We start from the raw sequence: 15165 nt of genomic DNA on the forward strand, positions 1-15165 counted from the left end.
ATCCAGAGTTTTTAAATCTTAAGATAAAGTCTGGAATTCTGGCTGGGCGCGGTGGCTCAAGCCTGTAATTCCAGCACTTTGGGAGGCTGAGGCAGGCAGATTATGAGGTCATGAGATTGAGACCATCCTGGCCAACATGGTGAAACCCCGTCTCTACAAAAATATAAAAATTAGCTAGGTGTGGTGGCACGTGCTCCTAGCTACTTGGCAGGCTGAGGCAGGAGAATCACTTGAACCCGGGAGGGGAGGCGGAGGTTGCAGTGAGCGGAGACCGCACCACTGCACTCCAGCCTGGGCGACAGAGTGAGACTCCATCTCATTAAAAAAAAAAAAAAGAAAAGTCTGGAATTAAGGGTAGAAGTAGGGGAGATTTCAACTCTCATTGAAATAGAACTTGGTCTAATTGACTTGTTTGGTGAATTCCTGTCCCTTTGAGTCATAGCTCTGCAGTTCTGTGACCTTGGGCTTCTTTGACCTTGAGCAAGTTACTTAATCCGTCTGGGCCTCAGTTTCCCCACCCACAAAGTGAGAGTAAAAATAACACCCACCATTGTTATAATTCTATCCCCTTAAGGGCCATCTCTAGGAAATAGAGAAAAAAAAGTGTTTTTAATGAGAATAAGATTTCTCGTATGTTGAAGACCTCTCCTATGTTTATAAAATCTGAGAAGATTTTATAGATTGTATAGAACTTTTTATACTTTAACTCTTAACACTTTATATTTAGGGGCTTAGGTATTTGATCCTTCTGTGGTATTATTTCCTGGAAGCTTACAGCCCCTTTGTTTTGTTTGATTTTAAAACTTAATTTGTATTAATTAGTATTCTCATAGGCTGTTTTAAAGTAACTGCAATCTGATATTTTAAATCTGGATTATAGGTAAACTACTACCAGAGATAAAAGAAGAAAGAGATGTTCAGAGAGAGCTTCGGATAGAGAGACTTTCTGGCCTGGTGGGACTCGGCTGCCCTCATTGCACCCTTAGGCATGGAAAGCTGCATTCTGAACACCAGCAAGCCTAGCTATAAATCTTCTTGGACAGGAAATAAAAGAGTCAGAGACCAAGCCATCTCTGCCCTGCATACAAACTCTCTTGGTTGAGTTGTGCCCAGTAGTTCAGTGCTTTCAGGTAAACTAACTTCGTGGATTCTGGGCCTTTGCCCAAGTTCTTCTTCCCCAGATAGCCCACGCGTTACTTCTACACCTCCTTTGAGTCGTGTTCACATGCTATCTTCTCAGTGAAGCCTACCCTGTATATCCTATTCATAATTGTAATCAGTACTTTCAGTGCCCCTTACTGTATTCTAATGTTTCTTTTTTTTCCTCCATAGCAATGAATTTCAGCACTGTTTATTTTCTGTCTCCTCCCCGTGGAAATCTTTGTCTGTTCTCAAATGTGTCCCAAACCCCGAAAGCAGTAGATAGCCACTAAATATTTGTTGGGTGTAGCATTTCTTGTCTTTCTCTTGACCTCTGATATCTTCTTCACATTGATGTTCTACTGGTTCCTACAACTTGGACTTGTTCTTGACACTAAGTAAGTGAAATTTTATGAAAAAGGCTACAATTATTCACAGTTATAAACAGTTTAGAAAAGAAAGGAATGGGCATATTTCTTGAAAAAAGTCATGTTTGAAGAGCTGTATGGTATCAGAGGGAGTCAGCTAATTCTTTGTGGCCATGAAGGGCCTGAATTTTGAAGTTTCTCGGAGTCAGATTTCAGTTCAGTGTGTAAAGGTGATTCCTAACAGGTAGAGCTATCTAATTATTGCCTAATGATGCAGTGAACTCTTCCTCTCACCTCCCCATCCCAGCTTTCAAGATGTGGGTTTATCTGTGTGCTTGGTTTTTGTTTGGGGACATTCAGAGGATAAGATTTGGAGTAGGGTAACCTTCCAATTTGATTATTCTGTGATTCTGGTCCCTGAACTGATACAGAGTGATTTCCAGGATTTATTATTAAGTGCAAAAAGCAAAATGAAAAGAGAAGTAATAGTATTTGATTATTTGTGTAAGAAAGAAGAGAAAATGAGAAAAATGTATCTATCTATATATGTATGAAAAAGGAAAACAAACACAGAAAGGGTAAACCAGAAAATGATGAAAATAATTATTTATAGGGGAGAGGTAAGAGCTGGGGGAATGATAGAGATGGGAATGAGACTTCTTTTGAGTATGCTAACTTTTGAACCATTTAAAGTTTTAAATATTCAGTAATATAATCTAAAAGGTGGTAAAAGCAAAATTTCTAAAATTGAAATCAAGCAAAAACAAATGGGCCTAATGTTTTTCAAATGTATAGCATCAGCACCTACAGAAAAAAGAATTCAAGTAACTTTTAAGCACTCGAACTATATACCCATAGTGAGTATATTCTAAGGATAAACCACCAAAGAAATCAAACTTAATAGGTTTGTTGTTGTGAGTGGTGTTGGCATTGTAATTCTGAAACAGTTTTGAATATCAAGGCCATTGGGAACTGGAAAAAGAAAGATATAAATATGGAATGGGGGAGATAAGAACTTTATGGTATTAGATTTCAGTTGGGGATGTCAATATGAACTCATGATTTTTAAACAGCATTTAGGTTGAACCACATGAAATTGCCAGTTTTTAGGCCACAAATAGTCAAATATTAACAATTTCATGTGATTCAACCCAACATTTTCTAACTCTGCTAGCTGAAAGGGCCTGGAGGCAATGAGCATATCTTATGCCCCATCCTGGTTTCTAAATGCCATTCCCACCAGAAGGAATTTGGGCTCCTTAGGGAAGTCGGTAATTATAAACCTGGGGCAGGGATTGTACAGCTTGTGAGACTTGCCACAGGGATATAGAGGCTCACTTGAAAGGGCTCCCACCAGCCTAATTTGGGAAAATTTATGTATCAAAAAGAATAGTAGTGGTAGTCGTGGTAATGGATTATAACACAGTGAATTTTTTTAAAAAATCAATGAATTTGTAATGACACTAAAAAAAAAAATTGGGGGCAGGAAAAAACTTCTTTTAATAGAAGATAGCCAGCAAATGTAGGAGATATTATAGGATTAGCAAACATTTTATAATTTACAAGGCTATGATTCATTCAGGCAAAAGTCAAGTCATCTAGATGCTGAAACCATTGACCAAAAGGTTTTTTTTTTTTTTTTTTTTTTGAGATGGAGTCTTGTCTGTTGACCAGGCTGGAGTGCAGTGGCACGATCTCAACTCACTGCAAACTCCGCCTCCTGGGTTCAAGCAATTCTCCTGGCTCAGCTTCCCGAGTAGCTGGGATTACAGGTGCCGACCACCACGCCTGGCTATTTTTAGAAGAGACGGAGTTTCACCATGTTGGCCAGGCTGGCCTCGAACTTCTGACCTCAGGTGATCTGCCCGCCTCGGCCTCCCAAAGTGCTGGGATTACAGGCGTGAGCCACCGTGCCTGGCCCCAAAAGGGTTTTTGAGAGCAGGATATTCACATGATCTCTAAGTCTCATTCTGTAGGTTTCTTATTATTTACAAAGGGTAAAAGGTAGCCTTAACATACACAGTTCTAGCTATTAGCACCTTAACCAAGTAATCCAACCTGGCAGCCTAACATTTTGTGCCTTCTGAAGGTATGCACATCATCACCTGTGAAAATTTGAGGCCAGAATGTTCACCATGAATCTAGTCAAGCCTTTTTACCCAACTTTCCATTTATAGGAAATACAGAGGAGATGAATTTTGTCACATTTGATTTATTTCTGTCTATCCCTTTCTTCCTCCTTCTGTGAGGAAACAATCTAATAAATCCAGAACATAAGACGCTTTACAAGACAACTGACCTGGACTCTTCAGAATAAAAAAGCAATGTTATATTTGAAAAACAAAAGATAGTTGAGCAAGAAACAGGCTAAAGAGACATAACTACCAAATACATTGTGGAAACTTTGATTAGATCCTGGATCAGGAGGAAAACTAAAAGCAAAAGAGACTTTTTAGGAACAGTCAAAGACATTTAAACGTGGTCTATGAATTGGGTGATATGAAAGTATTAATCTTGACTGTGGTGTTAGTGTTGTGGTTCTATGGAAGAATGCCCTTAGTTTTGGACAATGCATGTTAAAGTATGGAGAGGGAAAGTATCACCATCTCTGTGACATACTTCTTGGTAATTCAGATGTCAAAAATAAACACACAAAACAACCAGCTAGACACAGGAAGGGAGGGATGGAAGGAGGAAAAAAGATAAAGCCAATATGGAAAAATGTTGAAATTTGATGAATCTTGATGAAGGGTATATGGATGTTCATTTTACTATTCTTTCAACTTTCCTGAAAGTTTAACATTCTTCAAATGAAAATTAAGGGGAAGAAAATGAATTTGAACATATTTTCTGGGTTTAAACCATGGCTTTCCTGGCCCATCCCTTGATCTCTGGCTCCCACAGTCCCAGACCCGTCCTGTCCTTTGTCCTCTGCTTCAGGATGTTGTTTTTTTAAAGTATAAAAAGAGGCGTGATGGCTCACGCCTGTAATCCCAGCACTTTGGGAGGCCGAGGTGGGTGGATCACGAGGTCAAGAGATTGAGACCATCCTGGCCAACATGGTGAAACCCCATCTCTACTAAAAATGCAAAAATTAGCTGAGTGTGGTGGCACGCACCTGTAGTCCCAGCTACTTGGGAGGCTGTGGCAGGAGAACCGCTTGAACCTGGGAGGCGGAGGTTGCAGTGAGCAGAGATTGCGCCACTGCACTCCAGCCTGGCGACAGAGCAAGACTCCATCTCAAAAACAAACAAACAGAAAAAAAACATAGAACGATGAGAGGTTCATTGAACCGGTGAGTAGAACCAATGAGTAAAGGGATGTAACATGGCAGAACATTTCAGTTTGTTTGGATTAAGTTTCATCACTATCCTTTAAAAAATAACAGAACTTAATAAACACATTCACTTGGTGTAGAATTCTGCTAACGCTTGAGTTGACCTTTCTGAGGACCCGAGGTTAGAAACACCTGCTCCAGTGAAAAGGGCCTGCCCACAGTGCTGCATCATTTCTTTCTACTGGCCATATGGCCTCATTAAGTGTCACTTTACCACTGAGTGTGGTGAGGCTGGGGAAGTGGAGGCAAATGGACCAAGGTCACTTTCTGCTCTAAATAGACCATAGACTTTTCCTGTTGTGAAAAATTTGTGTTTTGTGTCTGCTTCTTAGCATCTTTTGTGTGAGTAGAAGTGCGTGAAACAGTATTATGATATTGGCAACTACCGTCGAAAAAAAGAAAAGGCGCAGCCCCACTGAGCAAGGGGACAGACCTAGGTTTGAATGATGATCCCAGCTCTGTGAAATGGAGGCTTAGATGAATTCAGCATCTGATTGTACTGGAATGTCACAGCACCCATCTGGCTGGGCTCTCTGCAATGGTACAATTGGGAACACATCCCTGTGGGTGAATGATCCAGCTCTTCAGTTGTTTTTCCTTCTACAGTTTACATAAAATTTGCTGATTTCTTTATAAACTGTGATGCCATCTAATCTAAGAAAGTGTTGGACTGAAAGTTTTATTCTTTATCCACTTAAGGTTATTTCTTAATTTTTTTTCCATTCCTTTTCACCCATTCTTCATCATTGACCCAGATCCTCCTCCCCAGAATTGCTTGCTAGCACGGAGACAGACCCAGAGTCACGGACAGAGGAGGGCCTCTATAAATTTTGCTAATCTGGAAGTGGTCCCTGAACCACAGTTTGTAAAACACTGTTTTATGAGAAAAGAAGATGGGATGAAGACAGAAAAGGACACCCTTGGAAACAATAACACTGTGGTGTGACCACAGGATTGAATGCCAGGAAGTCATGAGTTCTAATCCTAAATGTATTTCCCAAGACACAGTGGCAAAATTGAGTGGAAAAGTGCTCCACAAGAGCCCTTTGGTCGTTTTTTCATTCATCTGTCCATCAGCTATTCATTACATATGTGCCTTCAATGTGCTGGAAGGGATATAAAGACAGTCCAATCTCATTACCAGACCTGATACTGGCTCCCAGCCTGTCACAGCGATAAGACATGTCCATAAGTGGCCACCAACATGCCAGAGACAGTGGCTGTTGCCATCAGAGAGAGGCAGGTTGCAGGCATGGGTAGGGCGCATGGGGGAGAGATAGCTTCTATTCTTTGGGGCTGTGAGGGTTTACTGGAAAAAAGCTGGCATTGCAGGCAGGCCTTTAACTGCAAGGTAGGTCTTAGACATTGGAGATTGGTAGAGTTAAGTAGCCCACTATAGGAACAGCACAAACAACATTTCAGAAAGCAGAGGGTGTAGAGAAGAATTTAGCACACGAGGGACATAGCGGGAGCATGCAGTCTAACTGGAAAAGTACAGGTTGGGGCTGGGTCATGAAGGGCTTTAAATCCTAAGCTGACTTTGTATTTTTCTCGGTAAGGAGTTGATGAAGGTTTTTGACCAATGCATGCTTTAAGATGCTTAATCTGGCAGCATCTGCGACCTTGGGGAGAACAGTTTCTGTGATGTGGTAGGGGCCATGACCAAAATCCAGTGAGGTGAATAATGACAAAGTGGTGAGTAAATGTTGCTGTGGCGACTAGACAGCTTCTTCCAGCTTAAAGGAGGTAGAGATGTTAATACCTTGAGGAGGCTGAGGGTGCAGGGTCAGAGGAAGAGTGTAAGTGACAAAGGAACAGAAATTATTTCTAAGCTTTTGTTATTTCCTAGGGTTCTTGGCGAGGTTTTAAGGGATTATAGAAGACTTACTCTTCATGTGTTCATTCCCAGACCAATGGCTTTGGGTAAAACACAATCTTAGAAGTTTTCTGTCTCTTTAAAAAGTTCTTCTAAGCCCTTCAGTCACGTGCCTTCAGAAATTTTGGTTACATAACATTGCTCTGAATTGGAATTCTGCAGCCTCATGAACTGGAGTCTCATTCTTTCCCTCCCCCACCTGGCACTGTATTTTCTGCGGGTCAGGGTTAACTTCTTTCTAACCATTGTTGTGGAACTCTTTAAATATTTGGTCTCACAGGTTCTAAAAGCTGGCAGGCCAGGCTGCTCCCTGCAGGTTGTGAGACCAAAGCCTTCCAGAAAAGGAGCCAGTAAAATCCCAAGCATGTTAACTGAGTGTAACAGCTGCACAGTGCACCGCCTCCATCACCCTCAACCCCACCGCACGGGGCTGGGCTCCCAAGTGCTGAGGCCAGCAGCTCCTAGCCACTGCGGCTTGCAAGCAGAAGGAGCCCTCATGCAGCACATCGTGGCAGGCTCGTAATTGCGGTGATGACAACAGATTAAATCACTGGCTCTCAGCACTGAGGACTGGGGTTTGTCAGGGTCACTCACCGTTCCTTTGCTTCTCCCAATTTTCCATAGTGAGAGAGGAAGCTTGGAGTCTGCTGCTACAGTAGAAATACTTTCTGAGAGCCCTCTGAGTTTTGCTGTCAAGAGGTTCGTTCTCTTAGTAGTCTAGGCTGCATCTTTCTGTCTTCCAGCATCCCCTCAACACATGATTCTGGAATGTTGTAATCTCTCAATATACATATGTATTTAGTTATACCTTGCTTTTATCCAAAAATATTTGAAGGCAGTTTACATATATATATATATATATATATATATAAAATGCAGTGAATTTTTTGTTGTTGTTTGTTTTTTGAGACAGGGTCTTGCTCTATCACCCAGGCTAGAGTGCAGTGTCGTGATCTCAGCTTATTGCAACTTCTGCCTCCCAGACTCAAGCGATTCTCCCACTTCTACTACTAACTGGAAGTAATAGTAGACTACTCCTACTTCTCAGGAGTAGTCTCCTGAGTAGCTGGGACTACATGCTCATGCCACCACAATGGCTAATTTTTGTATTTGTTGTAGAAACAGGGTTTCACCATGTTGCCCAGGCTGGTCTTGAACTCCTGGACTCAAGCAGTCTGCCCACCGCGGCCTCCCAAAGTGCTGGAATTACAGCCATGAGCCACCGTGCCCAGCAAGTGTTTTTTTAAAAATTAGGAAATGAGGTAAAAGGAACACGTGAGTAGGAAAATTAGGCACAGCCAGGATAAGGGTTAGTTCACAAAGTGCAAACTATAAATAAAATCTCCTAGAGGCAAGTTAGGAAGGTTTTCTGAGTTTCCTAGCAGCCAAAGCAAAAAGGAAAACTTTTTAAAGTTTATTTATTTTATTTTGTACAGCAGACAGTTCATATAGCATAAAAAGGGAAGCCATCAAGGATAAAATTTGTGTGTCTGTAAGATACAGATTGTCACAAGTAGAGTGTTTCCTTATACTGCATCAACTTCCCCCATAAGTGTACTCTATAAAAGGATACTACATGGTCAAATGGGCCCTTGTTCTCCCTGCTTCCCTACAGTGATAGCATAGTCATTTGGTTGACTTCTTGCAGTGTCCCTTGGGGTAGGCTTGGTGGCAAAGCCCCAAGTAGGACAAGGGCACCATGGGAGGCCTGTGCAGGGCATTTCAGTGCAGTTCTTCGCATCTCCAAAGGTGCTCCCTTGAGGAATCTTGGTTCTGGGAGATGCTGTCCCACAAAGAAGTGCCAGGAGCAAATGAGTTGGTCAAGAACTGTTGATACCGGCATATTAAAGGCTCCTCGAAGTCCTACAGTTAAGAAATCAGCCCAGTATTTCCCAAACTGATTTAATCATAAGATCTTTTTTAAAAAAATTAAAACACTTAATTGGCACATTCAGAAACGTTGATCTAAAACAGGGGTCAGCAAACTTCCTGTGAAGGGTCACATAGGAAATATTTCAGGCACAATTAAAACAGCTGTCTGTCACAACTGGTCAACACTGCCATTGTATAGAAAAAGTGTGGCTGTGTACAATAAAGCTTTATTTGTGCGTAGTGCAATTTGAATTTCCACAATCATTTTTGTGTCACAAAATAGTATTCTTCTTTTGATTTTTTATTTTTTAGTCATTTAAACATGCAAAAACTGTTCTCATCTTGCAGGTCACTCACAAACAAGTGGCAGGCCAGATTTGACCAGTGTAGTATGGTTTGCCAATTCCTGATCAGGAATAATGTTTGGATGGCTTATCTTTCCAGCAAGCAAGCCTTCCTGAGTACTGTTTGTCAGGTTCCATTTTAATTTAGACTTTTATGTTTCTGGTTTAAGAGCAGATTTTTAAAAAGTGTTAAAGGTAATAGAGAGTTGGTTTGAGTCCTTACAGGCTAGTCTAGGATTTTTCTTAGAAAGCAGTTGTGGGGGCTCCCAAAGAAGACATTTACAAACTAACAAAGTCTTACACGGTCACATATGGTGGGATCAACTTCAGGCTGGAAATGTCTAAATGGGAATTATCATTCATGCACTGGATCCATAGAAATGAAAGTCTCAAAGCACCCAGAGACGTTTAATTTTAAGAAATTAAAACTTCCTAGTCAACCCTCCAAGTAACCTAGTAAACGATGGCTTCCCACCTCCAACCAAGCTAATGGAGTTCTTTTTGATTTTGACTAGGGGAACATTTTTTTGGCTTTTTATGATGTCATTATGATAAAAGAAGAAGACCCAAACATTCCTACTACCATGTCTGACTTTTTAGTTTCAGTTATACCAGTATTTTTTATTGAGTACTCAGTGTATATAAAACATTTGGTTAGATTTTATGGGAGATATCAAAAGGAGAAAGAAGTGGACACTTCCTTCTTTACCTTGTGAGCCAAGTTCAAGATCCTCATCAATTACAGCCCATTGCTGTGGTGCCAGGTCTGATTTCACCTCCTGGGCACTTCCTATTACCATCAATCTGTTCATTCAACAAACATGTCTGAGGTGCAGCCTCTGTTCAAGGCTCTGGGAACACAGCCCTCGGAGCACGCATTCCAGGAGATCAGTGTTTCTCTTCTCCTCTGGCACTCTTGCTTACAACCTCTTTTATATAGTGGAACCAAAATTACTTCTGTATATCTTGAGGCTTCAACCTTCATGTTGCCTACACTGTGTGTGACTCTCCTCGAAATATTTAGAGGGAGAGTGGGTCTCCTGATTAATCACCCTTTCTGGGATCTGCACTCTAAATGCTCTCGTTCCCTCCACCTGAATGGCACCTACCTTTCCCTGCCCTATTTTCTTAGTGTCCAGTAGGGACACAGTTTTTACCAGATCCATAATCTTAAAGCCATTAACTATATTAAGCCAAATGCATCTTGTAACAAATGTTACAAGATAGCTAAATATATGTACAAACAATATATTTACAAACAAACAATAATACATATCTGATCAATTGTTTTTTGATTAAGGAAGATTCTCTATAGTTTTGATTTTTTCCATTTACAAAAGTAATATTCAATTGCAGTGAAAAATTTTAAAAATATGAAAAAGTACACATTAAAGGGAAAAAAATTAATCCATAAATCTAGCACCCGTCGATCAACCCTATGAATATTTAACATATATGTTTTACTCTTCTTGATTTGAAAGTCACATGAATTTTTTAAAAAAATAGTAAACATTAAAATTGACCTTCTTTTGCTGTATGTAAAATTCTGTGAATTTTAAGACATGCATAGATTTAGTTCCACTCCCCCTGCTGCCCCCGCACAAGCGTACCTTTCCCAGTTCTGGCAACCACTGATCTGCTCTCTGTCTTATCTCTGTTTTCATTCCGTTCCGTTCCTCTCCTCTTCTTCTCCTCTCCTCTTCTTATCCCCTCTCCTCCCCCCACCCTTTTTTGTTTTTGTGTTTGAGACCAAGTCTTGCTCTGTTGCCCAGGCTGGAATGCAGTGGCACAATCTTGGCTCGCTGCAACCGCCACCTCCCGGGTTCAAACAATTTTCCTGTCTCAGTCTCCTGAGTAGCTGGGACTACAGGCGTGTGCCACCATGCCCGGCTAATTTTTGTATTTTTAGTAGAAACGGGGTTTCACCATGTTGGCCAGTCTGGTTTTGAACTCCCGACCTCAGGTGATCTGCCCACCTTGGCCTCCCAAAGTGCTTTGTTTTCTTTTTGAGAGTGGCTCTTTTCACTTAGTTCAATACCTTTGAGATTCATCCAGGCTGTTGCATTTATGAATAATTTGTTAATTTTTGTTGCTAAATACTGTTCCATTTTGGGGGTATACCACAGTCTGGTTATCCATTTACCATTTAAGATTACTTTTTGGGTTGGGCATCGTAGCTCACACCTGTAATCCCAGCACTTTGGGAGGCCAAGTTGAGAGGATCCCTTGAAGCCAGGAGTTTGAGATCAGCCTGGGGAACAGAGTGAGATCCTGTTTCTACAAAAAGTTTTAAAACTACTCCAGTGTGGTGGCATGCACCTATACTGTCAGCTGCTTGGGAGTCTGAGGTGGGAGGATTATTTGAGCTCAAGAGGTTGAGGCTGCAGTGAGCCATACAAAAAAAAAGGTTATTATTATTTTTTAAACATTTGACATTTCTGAAATTCTGAAGTATCTTAAAATTAATGTATATATTTAATGTGGTGGGGTTTTTATTTCTCCAAAAGCTATTACAGAATTGATGGCGCATCTTATAATTAATACTCTCTTAGGATGGAAGTATTGTGGTTAGGATTAGAGAGGGCTGTTGGGAGTTACTAGGAGTAGGGTAAGTGGACAGTTAAGAGTCGGATAGAGAAAGGTCCCAAGAGCTTGTGGCAGGCCAGCATTAGAGCAGCTTGGCAGCCTCTGAAGACAGGGTCTCGCTCTATTGTCCAGGCTGGAGTGCAGTGGCCCAATTATAGCTCACTGCTGCCAAGGAGGTTTTGAACAGAGGAGCAACACCAGGGAAGAAGTCTTTAAGAACAAAGCCTGTCTTACCATGGTTAGTACAAGTATGGGCAACATCATCAGTGTTGATGAATGAGGAAAAGACAGAGAAATGGTGGCAGTGCACTGCTAGTACTGGATGGAGTGGAGGAAGAACCTAGGAAGCAGTGAGCACCGACTAGAGTGTGGCATGGGGGCAGAAGGGCAGTTGCTGCAGAATACCCCAATCTCCAGGCAGTCCTCGGGCAGGAAAGGCTGGAGGTATGGAGAGCCAAGGACAGCTGCTGCCAAGATCTTTAGGTGTTTACATGGTGGGAATGGGTGGATTGAGTCAGGCATGCTATATGGGAAACTGTAAAACAGAATGAGAATGTCTGGGAGTTTCACAGGGTAAGAGTGTGATGTTCGTAAGGATATTGTGCAAAGATAAATGGGCACATGGTGTACTTGGTATGAGCTTGGTTGAAATATATAATTATTCTGTGGAAACAAACTGTGATTTGTGCTGTTTCCAGGTAGACTTCTATTATGGTTAACTCTACGGCCCAAAGTTTTTTTGCGAAGCTTATTGTTGGGTCCCATCCCCCTGTATCACAAGTCACTGGAGAAGGATATTTTACCAAAGTGTAAATTGAAGAGTAATTTACCAAAGTAACTTGCCCCTCTTGTTGGCCAACTCTTCTTGAGAAGCCTCGTTCATGGAAGCAGCCTGATTTTCACCCACTCACATCTCTTCTGGCTTGGGGTGAAGGAGAAGTAGGTGCCAGTTCACACAGAGGAAGAGAAAGTCACTCACCCATTTGTCTCTTCTCAGTCTCACATTTAACTAAAGATCTCATTCTCGTAGAAGTTATTTTTCACTTTCCCTAACAGAGCACATATGCAAAATTCACTGTTCTTTAAAGCTGTACTATGGTGGGGTAAAGTTGCTATTATTTGTGGCATTGCTAATTGTTTCTTCACTCTTTCCTAGAAAAGACTGTATCTTCACCATTGACCCATCAACCGCCCGAGACCTCGATGATGCCCTCTCCTGCAAGCCACTCGCTGACGGTAGGATGGAAATTTCTATAGCATCTTGGGTAGCAGGCAGTCTGCATGCCTGTGTGGTTAGCCTGGCTGCCCTGTGCTGCCTAGGCAGCATACTGTGCAAGGCTAGGTTTGCTTCGTGCCTGAACTTGCCATAGGCCTCTGAGCCTTTACAACTATGTGACCTTAAGATTGTGTTCCTGTGGTGACATTGGTGAGGGTGAGAATGAGAAATGTCCTCCCACTAGACTCTTCTTGGGCTTCAGAAGGGGCAACAGTGAGTGCTAAAGAATGAATTCCAAGCCTTGGCCCTTCAGATGGTTCCAGTGTTGGTGTAAGGTATCACAGAAAGAAAGCTTGTAAGGGCTCTGCTTGGGAGAGACATAGGGTTCTTTACCTGAATTTAACACCAAATAACGTGATTGAAGGGGTACTCTTCAAAGGCATGCTTCTCGGTGGGTAGCAGGAACACCTTCCCTGAGAACTGCCTCTCTAGGGCTGAGCTGGAGAAGCTTGGGCTACTCCCAGTAGGTTTTCATCTATCCAGCAAGTTGAGAAAGGCAAACTGATAAGGGCTCTTTAAACATTCTTTTGGGATGTTACTGAGCAGGTAAAAGTGGGATTGAGGCTAGTTGTCTTTGGAAATTATAGTTGGAGGAAGGGAATGCAGCAATTGACTCTCAAAGAAAAAATGTGTAGGATATGAGAAAAGTGAACCCTTCCAATCCCTCCTCCTCCTCCACCTCCCCCTCTCCCCCTCCCTTCCCCTCCCCTCCTCTTCTCAACAGAGTCCCACTCTTTTGCCCAGGCTGGAGTGTAGTGGCATGATCATAGCTCACTGCAGCCTCAATCTTCCAAGCTCAGGTGATCTTCCCACCTCAGCCTCTCAAGTAGCTGAGACTACAGGTGTGTGCCACCAAGCCTGGCTAATATTTTGTATTTGTGGTAGAGATGGGGTTTCACCATGTTGTCCAGGCTGGTCTTGAACTCCTGGGCTCAAGTGATCCATCCACCTCAGCTTCCCAAAGTTCTGGCATCACAGGCGTCAACCACCATGCCCAGCACCCCCAATCCCTTTTCTAATGCCCCAGATGTGCTGCTTCTAGTTTTTACCTACTTCTTGCCCCTCTCTAGGGTGGCTTCTGGGTGACTGCTTTGGCTTTGGTCATCCTCAGAGATGGCCTTGGCACTAACATGGCCTTTGACATTTGCCCAATGTGGACATCCACCCTTGCAGTTTCAGTCTGCCACCAAGCGTTGATGGCCTAGTGGCCTAGTGTTTTAAAACATTGCAAAGATGTTCATATTTCCCACTGACACAGAACGCCGTAGGTTCAGTATGTAATCTCTTCTCTACTATAATAGATGGGGAAGCTTAGTAGATAGAAGGCTGAGAGATAGAAGACATTGCCTAAGACTGGTTTTATCTTCCTTGAAACTATGGGCAAGATTGCTCAATATTTTCTTTTTAAAAATTAATTAATTAATCGATTTTTAGAGACAGAGTATCACTCTGTCACACAGGCTGGAATGCAGTGGCTCATTGCAGCCTTGAACTCCCAAGCTCAAGCAGTCTTCCTGCCTGGGCCTCCCAAAGCACGAGCCACTATGGGATTACAAGCACGAGCCACTGTGCTGAGCCTCAATATTTTCAACTAAAGAAAACTGAAAGAAACAAGAGAAAAGGTCCCCTGGAAATTTTAGAGAAATTATATCTTTTTAAAATCCAAAATTGAAGCAGCCTACTTCAAAAAGCAAGTACTGGCTTGATTTCTTACATTCTTAGCAATCTCTGTTGCATGCAGAGGCTTAGGCATACCTGCTCGGCATATAGACACCACTTCCCTGAGCCACAGTGTGGAAAGTGCCCCTAGGCTGAAAGCCAGGTGACCGTGGACCTCATTCCTCATATTTGCCTTACCTCTAGGTTCACACCTCTACTGTTTGTGTAATGCTTAGACACAATTGCTTCATTTGTTTTGTCCATTTTCATAGTTGATAATAGCAGACGGATACATCTACTACCTGTTCCTCTGTCTCAGCTGGCCTGGAACCCTGCACCTTGCAGGGTCTCCAGGGAGCAGGCACATGTCCTGCCGTACTCACTGCATACACTGTGGTTTTATGTCTAGGGCCCAAGTGTGTCAGCAGAGGTTTCATAAAGGAAGTGGTCAAAGATATGATAGGAAAGATAGATTGGGGACAAACTCGGGACAAATTTTCAGACCAAATAGTGTTTTTTGTTTGTTGGACAATGGAAAGGCAAGCAGATGTTGTTCAGCAAGAGAGCATTCAAAAAGAGGAAAATAATTTAGCATTGCAAGGAAAAGGAGAGAAACTAGAGGCTGGGGAATGAGTCAGAGAAATATTGCAATAGTTGTGGACCTGGACTAGATGGTAGCAAAATCAATAGGGGGGGTTGGAGTGGGA

At 42.2% G+C, this 15165-nt stretch overlaps 1 protein-coding gene across 4 annotated transcripts in view; it reads left to right on the plus strand.

The window, feature by feature from the left end:
* The window catches only part of DIS3L2 (DIS3 like 3'-5' exoribonuclease 2), a 382638-nt gene that overhangs the window by 235934 nt on the left and 131539 nt on the right, over positions 1-15165 (plus strand). For all 4 annotated transcript variants that reach the window (NR_046477.2, NR_046476.2, NM_001257281.2 and 1 more), the window contains one exon: positions 12680-12759. Coding sequence is in view for 2 of the 4 variants with exons in the window: in NM_001257281.2 (NP_001244210.1) it covers positions 12680-12759 (80 nt within the window). In the remaining 2 variants the exon portion in view is untranslated. The remainder of the gene's footprint in view (positions 1-12679; positions 12760-15165) is intronic.

This window comes from Homo sapiens, chromosome 2, assembly GCF_000001405.40.
Source record: "Homo sapiens chromosome 2, GRCh38.p14 Primary Assembly".
NCBI lineage: Eukaryota > Metazoa > Chordata > Mammalia > Primates > Hominidae > Homo > Homo sapiens.